The sequence below is a fragment of the Homo sapiens genome, chromosome 1 (genome assembly GCF_000001405.40).
Source record: "Homo sapiens chromosome 1, GRCh38.p14 Primary Assembly".
Classification (NCBI taxonomy): Eukaryota; Metazoa; Chordata; class Mammalia; order Primates; family Hominidae; genus Homo; species Homo sapiens.
In genome coordinates, this window is record NC_000001.11 from 242346693 (window position 1) to 242372781 (window position 26089).

The 26089-nt window shown below is 37.6% G+C and overlaps 1 protein-coding gene and 1 pseudogene across 7 annotated transcripts in view; one reads left to right on the plus strand and one right to left on the minus strand.

Annotated features, from left to right (window-relative positions):
• The window catches only part of PLD5 (phospholipase D family member 5), a 447561-nt gene that overhangs the window by 263707 nt on the left and 157765 nt on the right, over window positions 1-26089 (minus strand). For 4 of the 7 annotated variants that reach the window (XM_011544115.3, XM_011544116.3, NM_001372062.1 and 1 more), the window contains one exon: window positions 1414-1550. In XM_011544115.3, the coding sequence (XP_011542417.1) occupies window positions 1414-1466 (53 nt within the window). In that variant the 5' untranslated portion in view covers window positions 1467-1550. Of the gene's footprint in view, window positions 1-1406; window positions 1551-14259; window positions 14327-26089 lie in introns of those variants that run through there. The other 3 variants (NM_001320272.2, NM_001195812.2, XM_024453867.2) reach the window with 2 other exon arrangements.
• Window positions 18468-19156, plus strand: RPL10AP5 (ribosomal protein L10a pseudogene 5; annotated as a pseudogene).

A 26089-nucleotide genomic window follows, 5' to 3' on the forward strand; every position in this document is an offset into this window, starting at 1 on the left:
GTTACATAGGGAAATGTGGGTGATGGTGGTTTGCTGCAGAGATCATCCCATCACCCAAGTAAATATTAAGCCCAGCATCCATCAGCTATTCTTCCTGATGCTCTCCGTCCTCCCACCCCTGACTCTCCAACAGGCCCTAGGGTGTGTTGTTCCCCACCATGTGTCCATGTGTTCTCATCATTTAGCTCCCACTTATAAGTCAGAACATGCAGTATTTGGTTTTCTGCTCCTGCATTAGCTTGCTAAGGATAATGGCTTTCAATTCCATTCATGTCCCTGCAAAGGACGTGATCTTGTTCCTTTTTATGGCTACATAATATTATGGAATACCTTTCTAACATGAAGGAAGAAAATCTAAAATGTGTTTTGATTTCTTTCTTTTATGCTTTGCTCTGTATGTAATACCTGTTGCCTGGTAACTAGACTATAAGGTACCATGGGTTAAACATAAATGCCAATTGTCTTTTCAGAACATTTCCTGCAACAGAACATTCAACCTCAAAGCAAAATATCCAGGATAAAACTCACATACACATTACCAGGTTGTTGTTTATTTTAAGCTAGGAAAGTTGGGGGGTGGTCTTAGGCTAATGCTTTCCACTGGGAAATATAACAATTTAAATTTATTATAAGCTCTAATTCATAATTACTGTTGTAATTTAGTGGCCTCACTTCAGCTTTGCAGCAATACATATATAAAAATAGACCTCTTATCTATCTGCCTGCTTTTGGTACTTTTCTTCACCCTCCCCGAACCTGAAAAAATGGTAGCAGCTCAAAGAAGAGTTTGATGAGGAGATTTCTGGGGTTGAGACTACACTGTGATGTCTCTGCCAGTCAGCAAGGCCCCCAGGAAATGCTACTTAATGTAACTGAAGAGACATAATGCATACATAAACCTGTAAAGCTATTGTAGTTTCTAGATTAAAAACAAACTGTGTGCTAAACTGGGACAGGTCGAGGAGCCCTGTGTCTTCTCATCGACACACTTACTTCTTCAATCCCTAACGTTAAGTTGGAATTTTCCCTGAGACGTGTATTTTTTAACTTACATTTGATGGAACAACTAGCACAGCGTTCTTTGTCCATTGGGGCACTCCTTTTTACAGGCTCATCATGAACACCCAAAACAAACCTCATATACAGTGGTCTCCAGAAATGCTGACTGTTAGAAAAATTTTTTTGTTCCCACCAGCCTGTAGAGAATATGACCAGATTGTAAAGTGAATTCAATCATTACTCATTACTTGCCCTAAAAGTAAGAGTACTAGTGGACAGACTCACACCTCAGCTTAAGCTAAGGGGAGCCTGGATGACTACGTGTGTTTATGTATTCTCTTCTCCATTGTTCAAGGCCCTCTTTGGATTTCTTGCCCGCCCCCTAAAAGAGAATTTTTGTTTGTTACCTCTTACCGACATTTATTTTGGCAATTTTTTTCTGAGAGTCCATCCTCATCCTCTCCCATGATGTCCACGGCTGAAAAGATCAGTGCAACCAGAATGGCAAAGCAGCACACCAGGGCAAAGATCACGATGCACTTCTGCTGGGACTGAAAGAGGAAACAAAGACAAAGAAAAGTAAGTGGTGCTGCTTTCTCTTGGGAAACTCAAGAAGTGACAACTTCTCAACATTCCATGAAAAATGGGTGGGGATACGATTATCACTGCCTAGAAGGGAAATCTATTCTCTAGTGAACATGCCAAAGATCTTTATGCTTATTTCTCAACACAGCCTTCAAACCCCACTCTAAGTGATAGACCCTGTTAAATAATTCAAGTGTAGTATCCAGGCTTCTGAATGAGTTTGCTCTTCTTCTTCTTCCTACTCAAAAGCAGTCCAGAAAAGATCACTAGATATCTATTGTTTCAAATTAAAAATGAAACACATATGCTAGCATCATGCTGTCAATAAAAACAGTCAGACTCTGTAAAACATTTGAAGATATTTATTCTAAGTCAAATGTGAGTGACCAATGGCCCATGACAGAACCCTCAGGAGATCCTGAGACCATGTGCCCAAGGTGGTTGGGCCATAACTTGGTTTTATACATTTTAGGGAGACATAAAACATCAATCAATAGGCCGGGCGCGGTGGCTCATGCCTGTAATCCTAGCACTTTGGGAGGCCAAGGCGGGCAGATCATGAGGTCAGGAGATCAAGACCGTCCTGGCTAACACGGTGAAACCCTGTCTCTACTAAAAATACAAAAAATTAGCTGGGCGTGGTGGCAGGCGCCTGTAATCCCAGCTACTCTGGAGGCTGAGGCAGGAGAATGGCTTGAACCTGGGAGGCGGAGCTTGCAGTGAGCCAAGATCGCACCACTGCACTCCAGCCTGGGTGACAGAGCGAGACTCCATCTCAAACAAACAAACAAACAAAAAACATCAGTCAATACATGTAAAATGTACATTTGTTCAGTCCTGAAAGGCAGGACAGCTGGAAGTGGGGGCTTCCAGGTCATAGGTGGAGTCAAAGATTTTCTGATTGGCAATTGGTTGAAAGAGTTATTATCAAAAGCAAGGAATGTCTGAGTTACTATAAGGGGTTGTAGAGACCAAGGATTTATCACGCAGATGACGCTTCTAGGTAGCGGGCTTCAGAGAGAATAGATTGTAAATGTTTCTTATCAGACTTAGAGTCTGTTCTATCAGCAATTCCAAAAGGGAGGAGGGCACAAATTAGGCAAGTCCAGCTCCCACTTCTCATCATGGCCTGAACTAGTTTTTCAGGTTACCTTCGGAATATGCCTAGCTGAGAAGAGGATTCCATTTAGATGGATGGGTTGTTTCGAATTTTATTTTTGGTTTACAACGTGTTATTTAACTGACATTGTTCATTTTAAAATCTGAACATAAACATAACTCTTGATATGATTTTCACTTAGAAATACCAGCTGAATGTCCAGGTGGTCAAAGTCACTCACATACATATCATTAGGCCCCAGTATGATAATCTGAGCCATCTCTCTCTCTAGGGGCTCATGGCTAAAAGTGGCAGAAGACAGGGCCATGATAACTGGGAAGGAGCTGTGACCACTGTGACAAATCATTTTGACTGCTACAGTCTGAATATTTGTGTACACCCAAAATTCACATGTTGAAACCTTAACCTCCAAGGTGATGATATTAGTAGATGGGGACTTTTGGGAGCTGATTAGGTCACGAAGACAGAGTTTTGCCCTCATGAATGAGTCTCAGAGATGGGCATGGTGACATGCACCTATAGTCCCAGCTAGTAAGGAGGCTGGGGTTGGAAGACTGCTTGATTCCAGGGTTTTGAGGCTGCAGTGCACTATGACTGTGCCTGTGAATAGCCACTACACTCCAGTGTGGGCATCATAGTGAGACTTTGTCTCTAAAAGAAAAAAAAAGGCCTTAAAGAGCTCCCTTGCCCCTTCTATCATGTGGGAATACAGCAAGATGGCACCATAGATGAAAAAGGAAATGGGCCCTCACCAGATGCCAAATCTACCAGCATCTTGATCTTGGATTTCCCAGCCTCCAAAACTGTGAGAAATAAGTTTCTGTTGTATATAAGCTACCGAGTTTATGATATTTTGTTATGGTAGCCCAAAAAGACCAAGATAAATTAGATAAATTCTGGATGGAGAAAGGAGGAAAAGCAATTTTAAAAGTCTATGTACAGCTTTTAAGGGTTATTTACAGAGGTGAAAGGGTCATCTTTGGTCAGGCAGCCAGGCATACATCACTCTGTTAGTGATAAATATATGTATACACACGTACACACACACACACACACACACACACACACACACACACACACAGTTCAGAGCCTTTCTGAAACCAGCTGACTTTGCATCCTCTTACCACCCGGCTTCACTTTATCACCAAAGCCACATGATTTCCTAAGAATCCAAGGAAACTCCCAAACTCAGAGTCCAGGTCATCGAGAGGTATCCTTAAATGACAGATTGTAGTTAGAAAGAGATGTAGTCAAGTCAAAGGAATGAATGGTGTTTCTGTGACCAGGCACTGTCAGCCCACACGAGTGCTTCATTTTTGTTTCAAATCCTCCTTCAGGCCTCATCTCCTATTGCAACCTCAATCCAAGTCCACTCCTGCCTGTCATTATATTTTCTTACTCCTCCCTCAAACATGAAGTGATGAAAGCCAAAGAAAGATACAGCCATTATTCTTTTACCCTAGACCCTGCTTATCTGTAAGACATGGATTCTGTTTTATTCTTTTTTTTTTTTTTTCCTTTTGAGACAGAGTTTCAATCTTGTTGCCCAGGCTGGAGTGCAATGGCGTGATCACCGCTCACCGCAACCTCTACCTCCCAGGCTCAAGCCTCAGCCTGCCTCAGCCTCCTGAGTAGCTGAGATTACAGGCATTGCACCACTACAACCAGCTAATTTTATATTTTTAGTAGAGATGGGGTTTCTCCATGTTGGTCAGGCTAGTCTCTAACTCCTGACTTCAGGTGATCCACCCACCTCAGTCTCCCAAAGTGCCGGGATTACAGGCATGAGCAACCGCGCCCGGCCCTGTTTTATTCTTTCTATCCTTATTCTTTCTATCCTCAAGCAAACAGCACAACCCTAACAAATAGAAGGTGTTCAAGAAATAATTATTGTATAAATAGTGAATGAACAAAATGAAAATTACAATGGCATATAATATGGTTTGACTGTGTCCCCACCCAAATCTCATCTTGAATTGTAGTTCACATAATCCCCATGTGTCATGGAAGGGACGAGGCAGGAGGTAATTGAATCATGGGGGTCGGTTTTTCCCATGCGGTTCTCATGATAGTGAGTAAGTCTCACAAGATCTGATGGTTTTATGAAGGGCAGTCCCCCTGCACACACTCTCTTGCCTGCCCCCATGTAAGATGTGCCTTTGCTCCTCCTTCACTTTCCACCATGATTGTCCTCAGTCATGTGGAACTGTGAGTCCATAAAACCTCTCTTTCCTTTATAAATTACCCAGTCTCGGGTATGTCTTTATTAGCAGCATGAGAACAGACTAATACAGCATCCTTCTGAGAATGCAGAGACACAAAAAATGTTTCTCTCAAAACTCATTTGTGACCTTTCTGAAAACTGGCTTGATTACATATTTTGGTGATTATAAATTTTGTATTTTATCCTTTTTTACTTTCTGCTGGTGCTACAGGCAAATTCATGGGCCACATTTAGCAACTATATAAAACTTGCAGAATAGATTGTGTATTCGTCTTGCCATTTTATTTTTCATTCATCCCTTATTCCTCACTAATTTTTTTAAAAGTTTATATTTTGACAAATTATAGTTTTATAAGGTACAAAGTGATTTTTTACAATATCGGTAGAATCATAAGTTATAAAACTGTCCATCACCTTAAATATTTGACATTTTCATGATGAGAACATTGGAGCTATACTCTCTTAATGATACAATGTACAGTACTCAATTATTATCTATATTCACTATGCTATGCAACAGATCTCAAAAAAGAAGCAGACTTATTCCTCCAATCTTAGGCTTTGTACCCTTTGATTATCATCTCCTCATCCCCTCTACCCACCAGCCTCTGGTAACCACCATTCTACTCTCTACTTCTATAACTGCAATTGTTTTATATTCCACATATAAGTGAGAACATGTGGTAATCTGCCTTTCTGTGTTTGGCTTATCACTTAGCATATGTTCTCCAATTCTATCCATGTTGGTACAAATTACAAACTTTCTTTTTTCAGGCTGAATACTATTTCGTTGTACATACATTCCATATTTTCAAAACTCCATTCATCTGTTGATGGGCACTTAGGTTAATCCCACAGCTTGGCTATTATGAAGAGTGGTGCAATAAACATGGGTGTGCAGACATCTTTTCAACATACCGATTTAAAATCTTTGGGTAAATACCCAAAGGTAGGACTGCTAGATCATATGGCAAATCTATTTTTAGTTTTTTGAGGAATCTCCATACAGTTTTCTATAATGGCTACACTAATTTACATTTCTTCCAACAGTGCATAAGTTCCCTTTTCTCCAGACCTTGCCAATGCTGGTCTTTTGTCCTTTTGATGATAGCCACTCTAACAGGTGTAAAGTAATATCTTGTTGTGGTTTTAATTGGCATCTCCCTAATGGTTAGTGATACTGAACATTTTTTATGTATCTGTTACCCATTTGTATGTCTTTAAAGAAATATCTGCGAAAGCCCTTTACTTATTTCTTAATCAGATTACTAGTTTTTCTTCCCATAGAGTTGAGTTTCTTGTATAGTTTGGATATTAGTTTTCTATCAGGTATATGGTTTGCAAGTATTTTCTCCTAATCCCTAGGTTGTGTCTTCACTCTGCTAATTCCTTTGTTTTAAATAAGCTTTTTATTTGAATGTAATCCCATGTGTTTATTTTTGCCTTTGTTGCCTGTGCTTTCGAGGTGAAATGTAAAAATGTTATCATCCAGGCCAATGTCATGTAGCTCTTCCCCTGTTTTAGTAGTTTCACGCTTTCAGGTTTTATGTTTCTTTAACCCATTTTGAGTTGATTTTTGTATACAGTGTGTATACAGTGTATTTCTTTTGCATATGAATATCCAGTTTTCCCAATACCATTTATTGAAGACAGTGCTCTTTTTCCATTGTATATTCTTAGCACCTTTGTCAAAAATCAATTGACCACAGATGTGTGGTTTAATTTCTGTGCTCTCTCTTCTGTTCCATTGGTCAATGTGTCTACTTTTTTGCCAGTACTATGTTGCTTTAATTACTACTGTTTTGTAGTACAGTACAGATTGAAATCAGGTAGTGTGATGCCTCTGGCTTTGCTCCTTTTGCTAATGATTGCCTTGGCCATTAAGAGTTTTTTATGGTTCCATATGAATTTTAGGACTGTGTTCTCTATATCTTTGAAAAATGACATTGGGATTTTGATAAGAATTGCAATAAATCTGTAAATTTCTTTGCATAGTGTAATTCTTACAATATCTATTCAGGTCCTTTGCATATTTCTTAATCAGATTGTTTTCTTTCTATAGAGTTGAGTTCCTTAGGTATTTTGAATACTAATTCTCTATCAGATACATGGCTTGCAATATTAATTATTCCAGCCAGAATTATTTCCATATATTTGTGTCTTCAATTTTTTTCATTAATGTTTTATACTTTTTGGTGTAAAAGTCTTTCACCTCCTTGATTAAATTTATTCCTATTTTATTTTTTATAACTATTATAAATGGGATTATTCTCTCGATTTCTTTTCCAAAGTTTGTTGTTAGTGAAAAGAAATCCTAATTTTTCCATGTTGATTTCATATCCTGTAACTTCACTAAATTTGTTGATAAACTCTAACAGTTTTTTTTTTTGGTGGATTCTTTAGAGTTTCTTATATGTAAGATTGAGGTAAGAGACCAGGAAGACTTACTTCCTGGTCACAAAACAAGATCTGGTCCAGACAGGATAAAGTGAAGAAACTGGCAGGAACCAGCAGATGATGATGAAAGTGATCCCTAGCTGCCCTCCTTGCTCATAGGCATAAGACACTCCCCACCAGCACCATGACAGTTTACACATGCCATGACAATGACCCAGAAGTTACCACCCACTTTGCCAACAACCTGGAAGTTATGGCCTTTTTCCTAGAGAGTTCTAAATAATCCACCCTGAATTTGCATTGATCCACCCCTTAATTTTCCTATAATTGAAAGCAGATTTATCTGAGTATAAATAAAGTTGCCAAGATCCCTTGTGATGCCAACCCTGGGCACGTGGCCAATAAGTCAGCCGTGCTCTTCAAGGAGAAGTACCATTTAATATGATTGCTGTCTACCACCACTGGCTTGCTGTTGAATTATTTCCTGGGTGAAGCCAAAACCCTCCTGGACTAAGCCCCAATCTGGGGTCTTCTGTCCTACAAGATCATGTCATCAGCAAACAACAGTTTCACTTCTTCCTTTTCTATTTGGATGCCTTTTATTTCTTTCTCTTAACTTACTCTTCTTTCAAGGACGTCCAATACTATGTTGAATAGAAGTGATGAGAATGGGCATCCTTGTCTTATACTGGATCTAGATGAAAGGGCTCTAATTTTTCACCATTGAGTATAATGTTATCTGTGAGATTATATATGGCCTTTATTATGAAGTACATTTCTCCTATATACAATTTGAGTGTTTTTTTTTTTACCATGAAAGGATGTTAAATTTTGTGAAGTGTTTCTTTCTGCATCTAATGTGATGATCATATGACTTATTTTTTCTGTCAATGTGGTGTATCACATTTAATAATTTGTCAATGTGGATATATCCTTGCATCCCAGGGATAGATCCCATTTGATCATGGTAAATGATCCTTTTCATGTGTTGTTGAATTTTATTTGTGAGTATTTTGTTGAGGATATTTGCATCTATATTTATCAAGGATATTGGCCTGTAGTTTTCTTTACTTGTGATGTCCTTGTCTGGCTTTAGTATAGGGGTAATGCTGACTTTGTAAAAAGACTTTGGAAGTATTCTTTCCTCTGTGATTTTTTTAGAAAAGTCAGTGGGGAATTGGTAATAGTTCTTTAAATGTTTGGCAGCATTCAGCAGCGAAGCCAACAGGCCTTGGGCTTTTCTTGATGAGAGACTTTTCATTACTGGTTCAATCTCCTCACTTGTTATTCATCTGCTCAGATTTTGTATTTCTTTGTCATTCAGTCTTGATAGGTTGTATGTGTCTAGAAATTTATTTATTCTAGGTCATCCAATTTGTTGGCATATAATAGTTCATAATAGTTTCTTATGATTGTGTTTCTGTAGTTATCAGTTGTAATGTCTCCACTTTTATTTTTGATTTTATTTGAGTCTTTTCTTCTTAGTCCAGCTAAAGGTTTGTCAAATTTGTTTAATTTTTCAAATAACCACTCTTAGTTTTATAGTTTTATTGATTTTTTAAATCATTTTTCTGGTTTCTATTTCATTTATTTCTGTGATAATTCTTATTTATTTTCTTTTGCTAACATTGGGCTTAGTTTGTTCTTTTTATGTTTTCTTAAGGTGTAACATTATTTATTTGAAATATTTTTTCTTTTTGATATAGGCACTTATTGCTACAGACTCACCCCTCAGAACTTCTCTTGCTGCATTCCTAAATTTTGGTATGTTGTGTTTCCATTTTCATTTGTCTCAAGACATTTTTTAATTTCCCTTTTATTCACTGATCAACTGGCTATTCAGGAGCATGTTTAATTTCATTGAGTTTTCTGAAAGTCTTACTGTTACAGATTTTTAGTCTTAACCCATTGTGATCAGAAAAAAATACCAGATATGATTTCAATCTTCTTAAATTTGCTTAGACTTGCCTTGTGACCTAATATATGGTTTATTCTGGAAAATGTTCTGTGTGCTCTTGACAAGAATGTGTATTTGGTTGTTGTTGGTTTGGTATGTTTTGTACATGTCTGCCAGGTCCAGTTAGTCTGAAATGTTGCTCAAGTCCACTGTTTTCTTATTGATTTTATGTCTATCCAATATTGAAAGTGATTATTAAATCCTCTACTTACATTGTATTGAAATATACCTTTCCCTTCAGATACTTTAATATTTCCTTTATAGATTCAGGTGCTACACTGTTAGGTGCATATATAATTGTTATATCCTATTGATAAATTGACCCCTTTATCATTATATAATGCCCTTCTTTGTCTTTTTAAAATACTTTTTGACTTAAAGTCTATTTTCTCTAATGTAGCTATCACTACCCCTGTTCTCATTTGGTTTCCTTTTGTGTGGAATATCTTTTTCCATCCTTTAATGTTCAATCTCTGTGTTCTTTGAAAAGTGAAGTGTGTAGGCAGTATGTACTTGGGTCTCATTTTTTTAGTTCATTCATCACTCTATGTCTTTTGATTAGAGAATTTAATCTCTTTTCATTCAAGGTTACTGTTGCATAAAGATTTACTATTGCCATTTTGTTGTTTTCTGGTTGTTTTGTAGTTACTTTCTTTCTTTCTTCCTGTCTTGTTGTTTTCCTTTATAGTTTGCTATGGTGTATGGTTTCCTTAGTGGTATGTTTTGAATGTTTTTTCACTTTTTGGTTACCATGAGACTTTCCTAGAATATCTTACACTTATAACAGTCTACTTCAAACTGATAACAGCTTAACTTTGATTACATGTAACAATTCTGCACTTTTACTCCCCTCTTCCAAATTTTATGCTTTTGATGTCCAAATTAACATTTTATAATATATATCTCCTGACAATTTATTTTAGCTATAGTTGTTATTAATAATTCCATCCTTTAACCATTACACTAGGGATAAAATTATGTTACATACCATGATTACAGTCCTAGGGTATTCTGAATATTGCTATTTATTATGTATACCATTAGGTTTTGTGCTTTTCTAAATGTTATGTTACTAGTTAGAAGCATTTTTTTTTTTAGCTTAAAGAATTTCTTTTAGTAATTCCTGTAAGAGAGACCTAATAATGATGAATTTTCTTAGCTTTTATTTGCCTGGGAAAGCTTTTATTTCTCTCATTTCTGAAAGCTTTGGTGGTTAGAGCATTCTTGGTTGGCAGGGTTGTTTTTTGTTTTTTTTTCATTCAGCACTTTGAAAATACTATCCCACTGGCCTAGAGAGTTTCTGCTGAGAAGTCTACCGATGATTGTATTGAGACTTCTTTGTAGGTAATATATTGCTTGTCTCTTGCTGCTCTCAGAAATTTTTTGTTTTTGATTTTTGATAGTTTGATTATTATATGTCTTGGTGAACTCCTTTTTGGGTTGAACTTAGTTGATGACCTCTACATTTTCTGTACCTAGCTGTTGGTTTCTTTCCTCAATTAATGACATTTTTTCTTTTTTTTTTTTTGAGACGGAATTTTGCTCTTGTTGCCCAGGCTGGAGTGCAATGGCATTATCTTGGCTCACTGCAACCTCCGCCTCCCAGGTTCAAGCGATTCTTCTGCCTCAGCCTCCCGAGTAGCTGGGATTACAGGTGCCCGCCACCACACCTGGCTAATTTTTTGTATTTGTAGTAGGGACAGGGTTTCACCATGTTGGCCAGGCTGGTCTCAAACTCCTAACCTCAGGTGATTCATCTGCCTTGGTCTCCCAAAGTGCTGGGATTACAGACATGAGCCACTGTGCCTGGCCATTAATGACTTTTTGATCCAATATTTCTTTCAATATGTTTTCTGGCCCTTTTACTGTGTCTTCTCCTTGTGAAATGTGTATTATGCACAGGTTAGGCCTCAGTGGTGTCCCATAATTCCCACGGTCATACTTTATTCTTTTTCTTTTTTTCCTTTTGCTCCTTTGATTGGGAAATTTCATAAGTACTGTCTTCGAGTTCATTCATTCTTTCTTCAGTTTGATCAAGCAGACTGTTGAAGTCTTTATTGCATTTTTCAGTTCAAGCATTGTATTCTTCATCTCTAGGATTTCTATTTGGGTATTTTTTAATTGTTTCTATTTCTTTGTCAAACTTCTCATATTGTTCATGTAATGTTTTACACATTTTATTTAATTTTTATCTGTATGTTTTTGAAGTTCACTTAACTTTGTTAAGAGGATTATTCTAAATTTTTTTGTCATTTCATAAATTTCCCTTTCTTTAGTGTCCATTGTTGGAGTTTTGTTAGTTTCTTTTGGAGGTGTCATGATTTCTCAAATCTGTGTAATCTTTGTGTTCCTGCATTGCTGTTTATGCATTTTCAGAGAAAGCCACCTTTTCTGGCATTTATAAGAGTTCTTTGGCAGAGATAGACCTTCACTAGTTAGTCTATGCTATAATTCTGAATGGGCCAGCTGGTAATGAATCTGGGCAGGCAGAGCTTGCATTCAGGTTCTCTAGATGTCTGGGTCACTGCCTTTTCTCTGAATTTGGGTGGAACAGCTGGCTATGCTCTGCTATCCAGCAAGACCACCAGCTAAGCCCTGCTATGAGGCTGAGCTTCTGTGTGGGCACCAAAGTCACTTCTGATCTGGCTGGGCTACAGAGTATATTCTCCAGCTGGAATATACTGCTATCTGGACTCATCAGTTGGACAAAGTTGCAGAAGGGACCCTAAAGTTAATTGGATTGTGATGAATGGACCAAACGCTATACTCAGTATATTATATTCCTGATTGTGGCAAAACTAATACCTGCTTATTGTCAAAATTTGCTGCAGTGATTGTCTTTCTCACTATGTAGGGTCTAGGGGATAGGCTTTGGGGCTGTGTGAAACATTAAGCTTCAGTTTATGGCAGATCTAGTGTCTACTTGTTGTGGAAATTCACCACCAGTGGGTAGGGAAAGGGTTTTCTCATTCCCTGAGGAGCTCCCAGGGGTAGGGTCAAAAGCTAGACATGGAGGCTGGCTATCGAGGGATTCAAGCCTAGTAGTCCTTCCCACCTCTTCTGGGAGTGACCAGCTTGACTTTGCAGGTGACCTATGCTATTACCTGATATCTCTGATCACGGTACTGCTGGCAGGTACACTGAGCTTTCATCAAGATCTACCCACTGGTCTCCGTGGGTTTTACCCTCCTTGCTTTGTTTCGTTGTGACCCCAGGTGATCTGGCTGTGCCATATCCTCCTGTTTCCTGTTTCCTGTGAGGTGGGAGTGAAGTAGGCTTCCTGGGAAGTGTCAGAGAAGTTAGATGTCTACCTCCTCACCTCTCTTTTTTGACTGTAGAAACCATGAGCCCTGGGGAATCCTGTGTGGTGCTGTGGCAACTTGAGGAAGAGGGAAGGATGACATGGTCAAAGCAAGACTGTTTCTTTCAGCTTTCAATGGGGAATTTTATTTAGTTCCATGGAAATGAAGAAAAGCATTGACTCAGGCTTATTCCTACACTGTGGAGTTTCAATAACATATTTTTGTCTGTGGATAGTTGCTAGTTAATCTTTCTGTTGGAGGGAGTGAAGACTGGGGCCAATTCGCTGTTGTCACTCCACTAATTTTACTTTCAAGAAACACCACAGTGAACTGTTTGTGGGCTCAGGCTGCAAAATAAGGTTGCTTGGATTCTGCCATTTATTGGATGTATGCTCTTAGCAAGTTATTTAGCCATGTGCTTCAGGTTCCTTGTCTGTAAAATGGGGATTTATTAATAACTCTTTCATAGGGTTATTATTAATAATTAAGTTAAATGACATACTATATGTAAAGTACTTAAAGCAATACATAGAAGATAGATAGCAGTAAATGAGTCTTTGCTATTGTTAGTATATTGTTGCATTTTTAACACCTGTATTTACATGCCTCATATATTTTGGAGAAACAAGGTAAATATATAAACATTCAACAAAAACTAAGTTATGTGTAACAGAGAGGCAGAGAGAAATAGGGAGAAATAAGACAGAAAGAGAGAAGGCAAATGTTAGATGGAAATTTTCTAGAATAAAATTTTTGAGAAATTGTTCTAGCTCAGTCTCATAACTCAAAATCGTAAAGCAATATTTCCCAAATTTAAGCATGGATCAAAATCACTTGTAAAAACATACATTGCTGGGCCCCAAGTATGTACTTGTAACAAGTTTTCAAGAGATGTTGCTGCTGCTGATCCCTGGGCCACACTTTTGAACCGGGGCCCTAAAGTATCATCTAAAATAAATCCTACTTAGTACATGTTCATCCATCAAATTTACCTGCCTTTAGTAGTTCATTTGTGAACATTAAAAGGATCATGATAAATACACCCTAATGAAAAAAAACATAAATTTTGTAATTTATTTTCTTTGTGGTGGCTTAAAAAATAATTTTAAATAATATCTTTAAATTTTGAAAATGTTTTCTACTGGATATCAGTTTTTATTTATTTTAATGATATTCATTGTTTCTATAATCAGAAAATGTTTGCTTTTAACTGTGTTGAAAAAAGCCCTCATAATGAAGAAAGAAAACCACTCATAATCCTACTGAGACCTAACTGCCATTTATATTTCATTCTTGTTCTTTCCTATATTCCATCTGCCTATCTAACAACGATAAAATTGTATCATGCTGTAATTAAGGTTTATATTCTGCTTTTTGCACTCAATGGTATGTTAGTGTCCTTAAATGTTCTTTCATAGCATAGTTCTAAATTTTTGCATAATATTCTAATACGTGGTCATATCATCATCTCCTTTAACCAAAAAAACTTTCAAGAAGCCACTCATTTTACAATGGAAAAAAGTGATTAAACTTTTTTCATTTTATCCAGTTTCCTTAGACATTATAAATGGAAACAAACAAACAAAAAGCTTTCAGCAAGGTTTAAAGTAATGTAATAATATTCACATTAATCTAGTCCAGAAGATACTCTAACCAGGAAAATATAATTAGTTACCTCAATAATAATTCTGAATAGAGCAGCTTGAAAATACCATACCAGGTACATAGTGGGCATTCAATGAATGAATCCTAACAAAGACAATATCAATCATTTGTTTCTCTTTATTCTGAATGCTGTAATAAATAACAATAAATAAGTAAGAACTCTAGCTATTTTGTATGCTCTTGGAAGTACTTTCATAACTCTCATAAATTTATTTTAACTTCTATTAGTTTAATTTTATATTATTAAATTCCATTAAAAGAAGCAGTTTAGCTAGTTATTTCCATTTTCATTTACCCAAGAAGAAAAATTCAGACTCTGATATTCATTTTTAAATATCTCCTTGGAACAATGTACTATAACAATATAAGGTCATGCCACTACTTTCCTTAGCCTCATTTAATTTCCACCTCATCAAAAGTGAAAGCTTACGTTCAAATGATAGAATAAGAGCCACATAAATAATATCAAACTTCAGGGAACCAAGAGACATTAATTTTCAAATCCTTAACAGGTATAATTCCAGAAATCAATTCCAACTACACTTTTCTGTTTTTATTGAATTTAATCAAGGGAAGCAAGTTTTAAGGAGAATCCATAAACAAGTTTATCATCTAAACTTCACAAGACAAAACAAAATTTAAAATGCTATTACATAGCATCAGCATCAGCCAATCTGTACTTTCACAGCAGTTTACATGCATATGAAAAGAATTGCTTTCTTGGTCAAGAAATAAATATTAAAACATGTTAACATTCAAAATATTTGAATGTCATATCCTTAACAAACATGTTTTAACTCAAATACAGAAATAGAGATATATTATCTCTAACTAGAGAAAGTATTACACTTGAAATTTTCAAGCTAAGCTTTTATATCATTGAACGAGCTCTTAAAAGGAATTTGCACCTAGGCTGGGTGTGGTGGCTCATGCCTGTAGTCCTAGCACTTTGGGAGGCCGAGGTGGGAGGATTGCTTGAGGCCAAGAATTCAAGACTACCCTGGCCAACATACTGAGACCTCATCTCATTTTTTTTTTTTTTTGGTATAAAAAAATTTTAAAGAGGAAAAAAATGGAATTTACCTTTAGGAAACTATGACCCTAGAGGTAAAAAAGATAAATGTACAAAAATTATCCAAAAATTAAAATTATTCATATTATTTTTCATTTATTTACCATGACAATTTTTTTAAAACAAAATCATGGTCAAGTCTTAAAAAGAACACTTTTTATGTGTACAGTTCTTAAAATCTACAAAGCTGAAAGTTCTAATACAATTATTCCCTATATGAAAAATATGCAAACTGGGACTCAAAGACATTTGGCCATTAAGCTGTCCAAGGTGAACCAAACAGTAGGAGACAGTCTGGGTATTTAATTTAGGTCTAGAAATCCAAAATCTGTCTGTTTTATAGATGCAGACTTTTCCCTTTTTCATTTTCTTTTTGATTTCTTCATTTTCTACTTAATTTTCACTATAGTTATTGTTATTATTACCAGCTTTTGTTAATTTCCATGGTGGTCTATTAGTGTAGAAACTAAGGTTGAACACTGCCTTCATCTGTGGAGATATGGTATTCCTGGCCCTATAGGCCTTTCCTATGATTCTAGATGTGCTGTTATCTTGAGCTCCTAGTGATGTTCCCAAAGGAAGCACGTCACCCAGTAGACCCAGAGTAATCTCATCTGGTGACTTATCAAATTTCTGGATAATGACTACACTCTGGAATCATATCAGAAACTCTAGACTACAAATGGCTTAGGGGCATTTCTCTAAAATCCTTATAATAGACTTATCACTTCACTTCCTACATATATTTCCATGTTCCTTAGGGCTCTATCTTAGGATTTTCTCTTCTCACTCTGTACCCCTTTCCTGAGGGACTTTAATTTACTCCCAAGGCACCCCTCGCTGTACATATTGGTAACCTGCAAATGTACATCACCAGCCCAGAGCATCCTGCTGAGGACCAGACCCACACTGAGTGAGCTTCCTTGCCATGGCACAGAAAAGCAGGACCTCGAAAGAGTCCACCACAATCCCTAAGTTGAGGAGAAAGACTCGGGATTTTAGAAAGGCTAGAGTTGGCAGGGCAGAAAACCAGAGAGAGAAAAATCCTCATAGAGAAGCGGTGAAGATCTTCAGGTCTCCTTGAGTCTTCAGCTGAGTGCTGATTGGCACACAGCTGTAAGGAGCTACCTGTCACCTGGGGCACACCTGCCTGGAAGGAGCAGATGGAATAATCGCCAACCCACACACAAGGCCAGAAAGAGTTGGCGTTCCACTCAGAGTGGACACATATCTTGTAACACATGAGAAATAGAGTAATTAGAAAGGTACTGTCTGGAAAATAAAACAGAAAACAATTAGCCCTAGACTCATGGCTGCTTTGGTCTCTCCTTAAGGAAAAAAATTAAAAAATCATAAAAAGCTAGCATTAAATTTGGGCACAGTAGCCTGCGAACAGCCACTGCACTCCAGCCTGGGCAACATGGTGAGACCCTGTCTCTTTAAAAAAAAAAAAAAAAAGCCTCAAAAAACCCAAATTGTTCACCAGTAAGTAGTAACTATACCTCATAACAAAAGGAAAGAATATTTTTTAAAATATGATAATATCCAGCACAGAATAAAATCAAATTCACAACCTCTGGCATCTAGTAATATCTACCAGACATGCCAAGAAACAGGAAACTATGATCCACACTGAGAAAAATAATTAAGCAATTGAAGTCAACTCAGAAATGACATAGATTAGTAGGCACAGATATTAAAACAAATACTGTAACTATACTGTAACTATATTCTATATGTTTGAGAAGCTAAGTATGCTACAGAGAGATTTTAAAGGATATAAAAAAAGACACACATCTAAATTCTAGAAATAATACATACACTGAATGGGATTAACAGCAGATTAGACACAACATGCGAAAAGATTAATGAACTCCAGGAAAAGACAAATAAAAAACAGTAGACTGAACAGAATATCAGTGACAACACAAAAAATCTAATATATATGTCCTTGCAGTCTCTGAAGGAGAGGAAGAGACAGAAAAAATATTTGAAAAATATAATGGCCAAAAGTATCAAAATTTGAGACAGATGTAATAGAGTAATTTTACAATGGTAAAGGGGTAAATTCATCAAGAGGACAGAACAGAACTAAACTTTTATGCACTTAATGACCTAATGAGAGCTTCAAAAAACATAAAGCAAAAGCTAACAGAACTTGAAGAGAAATTCTAACGTCTTCAGTTATTTAGTGACTTTGAAACCCCTTTCTCATTAGTGGATAGAACAAGTAAATAACATATCAATATGTACATAGAGGAACTAAAAAATACTATCAACCAGCTTCACTGAACTCACATTTATGGAGCACTCCACTAAATAAATAGAATTCCTTTATTTAAGAGCACATAGACCATTTACCAAAATGGATCTATTCTAGGCTTTAAAACAAGTCTCAATCAAGTTAAAAGAATTTTAGAAAGCCAGGAGCAGTGGCTCACATCTGTAATCCCAGCACTTTGGGAGGCCGGGGTGGGCGGATCACTTGAGGCCAGGGGTTCGAGACCAGCCTGGCCAACATGGTGAAGCCCCATCTCTATTAAAAATACAAAATTAGCTGAGTGTGGTGGCATGCACCTGTAATCCCAACCACTTGGGAGGTTGAGGCATGAGAATCGTTTAAACCCAGGAGGCGGAGGTTGCAGTGAGCCAAGATCTTGCCACTGCACTCCAGCCTGGTTGATAGAGCAAGACTCTGTCTCAATAAAGAAAAGAAAGGAAAAAGAAAAGAAGAGAAGAGAAGAGAAGGGCTTTAAGTGATAAATGTATACTTTAAAAATGTAAAAAGGAAAAAGAACAAATTAAACTCAAGTAGACAAGGGAATAGAAATAATAAAGAGCAGAATTCAATAAAAGAGAAAACAGAAAACAAAACCATGCCCACAAAAATCAGTGAATCAGAATTCTGATTCTTTGAAGATGTCGATAAAAATGGATCAACTTTTAGCAATACAGATAAGGAAAAAAAAAAAAGAGAAGATACAAATTCCAAATATCTCTATGAGAAACAGGACATCACAGCAGATCCTACACAAAATAAAAAATAATAAAATAATAAGGGGATGTTATGAACAAATTCACGATAAGAAATTTATCAGTGCAGATAAAATGAACAAATTTTTGTAAGATAAAAGTTACTGAAGCTCCTTTTCCAATTACCATGGCATGAGGAGCCATGAGCAGTAAAGTCTCTCAGGACACCCTGTATGAGGTGGTGCAGGAAGGCCCTGCATGGGGACGAGTGCAAGTGCCCCAAGTTTTTGGAGACTGGAGTTGCAGATAAGTTTGATGAACTATGACCTCCAGGACAAATGCTTCTCGGGCACCATCAGGCTTAAGTCCACTCCCCGCTCTAAGTTCTGTGTGTGTCCTGGAGAAACAGCAGCACTGTAATGAGGCCAAGGCTGTGGATATCCCACACATGGACATCGAGGTGCTGAAAAAATTCAACCAGAATAAGAAACTGGTCAAGAAGCTGGCCAAGAAGTAGGATGCTCTTTTGGCATCAGAGTCTCTGATCAAGCAGATCCCGTAAGTCCTCGCCCAGGCCTACATAAGGCTGGCACGTTCCCTTCCCTGCTGATACACAATGAAAATGAAGTGGATGAGGTGAAGTCCACAATCAAGTTCCAGATGACGAAGGTGCTGTGTCTGGCTGTGACTGTTGGCCATGTAAATGTTACAGACAATAAACTTGTGTATAACATTCACCTGACTGTCAACTTCCTGGTGTCATTACTCAAGAAAAATTGGCAGAATGTCTAGGCTTTATATATCAAGCGCACCATGGGCAAGCCCCCAGTGCCTGTATTAAGACACATTCGAATAAATTCTACCGCCACCAGCCAAAAAAGAAAAATTACTAAAGCTCATTCAAAAAAGATAGATAACCCAAATACCCTTATATCAATTAAAGTAAATGAATTTTTAGTTAAAAACCTTCCCACAGTAAAAACTCCAGGTTTAGGTGGCATCATTAGTGAGTTCTGTCAAACATTTGAGAAATAAATAATGCCAATTCTATTCAAGATATCCCACCATATAAAAATGAAAAAAGCTTCCCAATTCATTCTATGAGGTCAGCATTATATTGATACAAGAAGCAGACAAAGACTTAAATATATTTTTTGTCCTACTGTTTTATGATACACTACTGAAGAAACCATGCCTCTACATTCATTTATTTAGCAAATATGTATTTAATGTCTTCTCTGTGCAAAGAGGAATATGGGGTCTGCAAAGATCATGACCTCAACAGGGAAGATAATTTTTCAATTTCCTCTTCAAATTATTCATAAAAATTGCAAAAGGTCTCTGTCTACCTCAGCTTGCCTTTAAGTGAGAGATCTATCATCAGTTACACAGTTTTCTTATTTTCCCATGCCTAACTAAAGTGATCTCAATGGCACTAAAGGATGTTTTTGTTTTAGGAAATTCTCATTATTTTTACTGGACCAGTAATGAAAATGATTTCTGCAGCAACCTAGATGATTCATTCCTTTTCAAGGAGTTGTATTTAGATTGGTGCAAAAGTGATTGCAGGTTTTGCCATTAAAAATAATGGCAACAAATTACCATTACCATTTACTATTAATAAATTACCATTTGTAATTGGTAATTTATTGCCATTACCTTTAGTGGCAAAACCCACGCTTGCTTTTCTGGTAATAAATTCAGCGTTGGATATGCACTAGTTCATTTTCTCCCTTTAGTCTCTTTCACTAAATTGAGCTCCTTGAGTTCTAGGATCTTGCCTAGATCCATAATGCCTGGCAGACATGTTCAATAAATATTTGTCAAATGAGTGATGAATAAGTGAATAAATTAAAAAAAAGCAAAGGCTAATAAATCAATAATTTTTGTGTTTTACAACCCTGGTTATTTTTATTTTTTTACTACTTATAAACTTCCATTGATTCCCATAACAGAAACATATTGATTTGCAAAATTAGACATGCAAAATGTAAAACACTCTGAGCCCATATTAGCATACAAAATATAATATGTGGTACAGAGGGCATCTTTTTTAAAATAGCAAGACCGAGAATGGAAATTAAGTTTGAATGAAAATGTTAACTGAGCACAGAGCCCTACTCTACTCCCCATCTTATAAAAAAATTCTTATAAATGAAGAACAGGTACAGTAATATCATAATAATTTTATAATGAATGTTGACAACTAAAAGGAGTACCACCTATGGACAAGAAATTTTAAAGATTTAGTGGAAATTAGATTGACCAAGGAGATAAGAGTCCTCAGACACACATAGAAAAATTCAAACTGCTATAATGTAAGTAGAGCTCTAAGTCTAGAGGCAACAGAGAGACAGAAATGGAAAGAGCTCTGGAATGACTGGCACAATGATGAGCTGGGAAACTGTATATGGAGCTGATGGGCCAGTCATCCCTTTCCTCCTACCCTGTCCTTCTGCCCTCTCTGTTGAGCAGCACAAAACAGACATGTTTTAACTCACAAATACAAATGAATAGGGCAATTTCCTCAGAGAGTGAGAACTCCCAGAAGGGCACTACTAGCACATGAATGCCTCACATCTCAGCAGCATACTCAGTCTCTCCTATGAAACCTGGAGACGAACCCCTATGCACAACCCTCATCCAGAGACATGCAAATAGGAATACGCAAACATAGAGGTGGGCAGGTAACTAAACATCTCCAAAAATTTGAGAAAAGCCAAAATCACGAAAGAGGTACTGAACCCAGCAGTAAAAACAAACTCTGGAGAAAATAAAGCCAACAGAGGACACAGGTGAACCCTTGAAAATAAGAGTCAAGTTCTCAGGAGAATGAGAGAAGTTGCCCCAGTGAAACATCAGAAGAGATTATTATGAAAAGGTCACCAGTTAGAGATCTTAGGAATTATAAACCTCAGTGGATGGACTGAATATCAAATGGATACAACTTGAAAGTAAATTTATGTTCTTGATTGAATCAAAGGAATTTTTCCAGAATGCAAGGTAAAAAGTACAAAGTCCTGTTAAAATAATTGGAAGGCCATTAGACTGAGGCAATTCCACTGCCTGCATCAGCAAACTGAAACTCAACTCATTGTAAACAGTAAACAACAACAACAACAACAACAAAACACTTAAGCTTATTCAGTCAGAAATGGCCAACCTCTAACAAGGGACTTTTGCTGGAATGATTCAACTAAACCTACTGCTCCACTGTAAACAACCAAATATTTTCTTTGCCTTGCTCCCGTATTCACCCTATAAAAGCCTTCTCCTTCATTCCCCTTCATCAGAGCCCTGAACCACCTGCATTCTGGAACTGCCCAATTCGTGAACCAATAAAGCAGCCTCATTGTCTGGGGTGATATTCAACGTTCACTGTCTCATAGCCATGGAGATCAAAGACCTGGACACAAAGAGTAAGGTTAGGAGCAAAAATTTAATAGGCAAAAGAAAGAAAATAGCTCTCTGCTACAGAGAGGGGTCCCAGAAAAATGAGTTGCCAATCTGCAGTGAAATGCAGGGTTTTTATAGATGAGCTAGTAAAGAGGTGGTGTCTGATCTACATAGGGCATGAAAAACCAGTTAGGACCAGGTGTGGCATCTGCATAGGGCATGAATCTCTGACAGTCTCCACCCCAGTCTTTTATTATGCAGGTGGGTTCTCTGCCTGAGCTTCTCCATGTTGCCCATTTCTTACTGTACATGTGCTAACAACAAAGGGAAGGTGGAGCCCCATGGTGAACATGCCTGGCCGCCAGGTAGGACTTTTCCATTGGTGTAGCTGCAGGCTTTCTCCCGTGCAAGCTTCCAGCTTCCTTATTTGTGTTTGCAGCTCCATCTTTCAGGATGCCCTTTGTTAGAAGAGAATTAATTTCTTGGGTTGCTTTTTGTTAGAAAGGAAGTTCTGCCGAGGACTCTTTTGCCCTCACTATCTGCCTAAAATAATTTCTTTCTATCTCCTGTGTCACCACCGTTTGCTCAAATAAACTCTTTCATATTTAATGTGCCTCAGTTTCTCTTTCAATAGTCCTAACAAATATGGGTATAAAGGATAAAACTCAAGACAACCAGAGAATCAGTCCAGAAAAGCCAGCATCCATCAGATCAAAGTTCCTCAATGAAAGAACATTGAGAATGTAGGACTGTCAATATTCAAAGAAATATAGAAAGGAAAACTTTAATAGTGAAAAATATATGTCTTCCAAGCAAGTACATCTTTTTTGCATGAGTTTGGAAACAATTCAAAATATTGAGAACTGTAATGGGTGGAGGTTGGGGAAATAGGCATTGGGTTAAAAATGCAAACTGGCAGAGCTTGCTTACATGGCAATTTGGCAGTTTTTATCAGAATTTTAAATGTACATATTTTGACTCAGAAATTCTACTTCCAATATTTAATTTTACAGAAGTGTTTACATATGTGCATAAAGATATAACAACAAGGATGGTCACTGCAGCATTATTTGTGAAAAAAATGGGAAAAATAATCAATAGAGGATTCCTACAATACAGTGATTCTATGGAATATTGTGAAGCCACTAAAATGTGCGTATGCTTATAAATAAACAAAGATTCAATGGAATCACATAAAACTATTGACAGTGGTCATCTATCAGGAAGAGAGAGGTTTTGTGAGGTCAGAGGAGTTGTCATGTAAAAGATGTTCGTGGTTTGCTCTGCATTTTTCTGTATAATCTGGATATTTTACATTAGCCCTGAATCTCAACTGTCTCTTATAGCAATGAGAAAGAGAGCTGTCTATTCTTGGACTATACCATCTCAAGGCAAGTTATTTATCCATAGTTCAATTTTCCTAAGACACAGCTGAGCACTAACCACCACCACCCCGGGTGGTCTGCATTTACTTAAAGTTCTTCCAATTACTAAGCAGAGGTAGATACTATCCCAAGTTTCACAAATTACAGGGGACAACTAGAGAATGACAGAACTGCCGAACACAGAGAATACCCAGAGATCATCTACTTCAACCCTCCATTTTATGTTTTTCTGGATAAGAAAACTTCTGGGAGTAGAACACTGGTGACTCAGTTGTGTATTAGTTTCTTTGCCAATGATTGGTGAACTGACACACCAACAAACAAAAAGAGCCATTAAGTTTGCAAAAGACAGATGGCACAGAAGAGGCACTCTCGGTCTGCAGTGATAGTCTGTGACTTGAAGTCAAGCACACCCAGGGCTAGGGTGGAAGAGACCCTTGGGAAGTAAATGAACTTATTTAGTTCCTTGCTTTCTACATGCAGCCACTGGTGGCATGAGGCAAGAGAAGAAAAATGTGTTTCATCCCATTTAAAATACTCTGTGGGCATCTAACACTTGTTATGATGCACTGCGCTTATAATACTGACAATTCAGAAATGTGGCCTCACTCTTAAGAGAGTCTCTGCCCTTAAGGACCTTACGGGTGAGGGGTGAGGGGAAAGAGAGATGCAGAGAGAGAGAGATGCAGACAGAATAGATGTGCCATTCTAATAGTACAGAGGGCTGAGCCAGGGGCCAGGGGAGGGGGCATTAATGGCTGTGTTTGTGACCCATTTCACAGAAGAGTTCCACTTGAGTAGACCAGTTCTGGTGTCTCCCACCCTTCCTTCCATGCACACCTCATTCCTGCAGTAGAGAATTAGGGATTCCCTCTGTACTCACTATAAAGTGAAATAAGCTATTTTGAATGTTAGTGAATGCACAAGAACACACTGTCAATGTCAATAGGAAGAGTCAATACTTAACAGCTAAAAATTACGCTTTCATGTTCTCTATCCCCCTCCCCTATATTATAGATAAAAGTGAAAAAAATGACAAAATGCCAACTGGTCTTTGATAAGGTGAGGGCTATTTTGGCCATCTGTATTCTGCACTCTGTTTTTAACAAGTTGAAAAGGCTTTGACTCTTGCAATATATCAAAATAAGTCCAAGTTCTTTCAACTTTCTGTGATAGGAGATTTATTCTGAAGTCTGTCAGTTATGATTGTTTTATGTTTCTTTTTCTAAATTACCTGTTTTCTGTTCACTGCAAAGGTTGGTATTTCATCCAGTTAAGGGGCAAAAACACTGCTGACAAAACCCAACAATCTTTATTTTGAGCTCATTAAAAAGCAAAGACAAAGTTAGGATTGACTTCGGGTGTAACTGGCAAGTAATGAAGAAGCAAAATTTATCTTTAGTAGCACTAGTGTTCAGTTTCTCCTTATTTTAGAAGGAACACACACACGCACACACTTTTATAAGAGTGCACTGAGAGAGGCTTAGAGTTAGGGTGAGAGAGAACCTTTAAACCATCTAATCTAACTTTGCCGTCAGTACAGACACCTGAGCTTCTGCACTCCTGACTGATGAGATCTTCCTTCTCTGCTTGGGTGCTACAAGCTACCAAAAGCTCACTACTTAACAAGACAGCACTAATTTTTAGGAAGTTCCTATTAACATGGGAAGACATGTGATGAACAGAAGCGTACTGAATCATCAAAACACCTTTCCCTATCACCTCTGCCCTAACTCCTTTCTCCATCCCTTATCCCCCTCCTTCTTTCAATCTCTCTCTCTCTCTGGACCTCCTTTATTTATCCCTTCACCACTTTCCAAACCCACCATTGCTCTTGTTTTCTTTCAAATCTCCCAATGCTCCCTGACACCCAAACCTCCTCTTGATTCAATGCCCAATCCAGGGCAGAGCTTGCATGGGGCTTTCCCTGCAGAAGAAATGATCCCTCTTCTCTGATTACAAGGGGGCTACAGAAATACAAATGATGACATCCTGAGGCAATAGATAATGAAATGCAATCTTATAATATAGAGTGACCTCAGTGGTAGAAGGAAGAGAGGAAGAAAAACATTTTAGTTTTTTGCCTGCTTTTTTTAAAAGTTTTTTTTTTTAATTATACTTTAAGTTCTGGGGTACATGTGCAGAACGTGCAGGTTTGCTACATAGGTATATATGTGTCATGCTGCTTTGCTGCACTCATCAACCCGTCATCTATATTAAGTATTTCTCCTAATGCTATCCCTCCTACCACCCTCCCCACACCCCCGCCCTGACAGGCCCTGGTGTGTGATGTTCCCCTCCCTGTGTCCGTGTGTTCTCATTGAAGATGTAGAGGACCTTACATCACTGAAGGAATAAAAATGTAGCCTGCAGCTCCTGTATATTCCTAAATTTCCCTTCTCTTCATCATTATTATTTTTTAAATTTATCTGTTTTTTCAAAGACTCAGGTAAAAGCCCATCATAAGCCATGCCCATAGCACAGCTATTTCCACACACCAGCAGGATGATCTCTAAAAGCCCTGCTTTGTGGAGCCAGGTAGAGTGTAAGAATGTCTCATGGATAGGAAGAATCAATATCGTGAAAATGGCCATACTGCCCAAGGTAATTTACAGATTCAATGCCATCCCCATCAAGCTACCAATGACTTTCTTCACAGAATTGGAAAAAATTACTTTAAAGTTCATATGGAACCAAAAAAGAGCCCGCATTGCCAAGTCAATCCTAAGCCAAAAGAACAAAGCTGGAGGCATCACGCTACCTGACTTCAAACTATACTACAAGATTACAGTAACCAAAACAGCATGGCACTGGTACCAAAACAGAGATATAGACCAATCAAACAGAACAGAGCCCTCAGAAATATTACCACACATGTACAACCATCTGATCTTTGACAAACCTGACAAAAACAAGAAATGGGGAAAGGATTCCCGATTTAATAAATGGTGCTGGGAAAACTGGCTAGCCATATGTAGAAAGCTGAAACTGGATCCCTTCCTTACACCTTATAC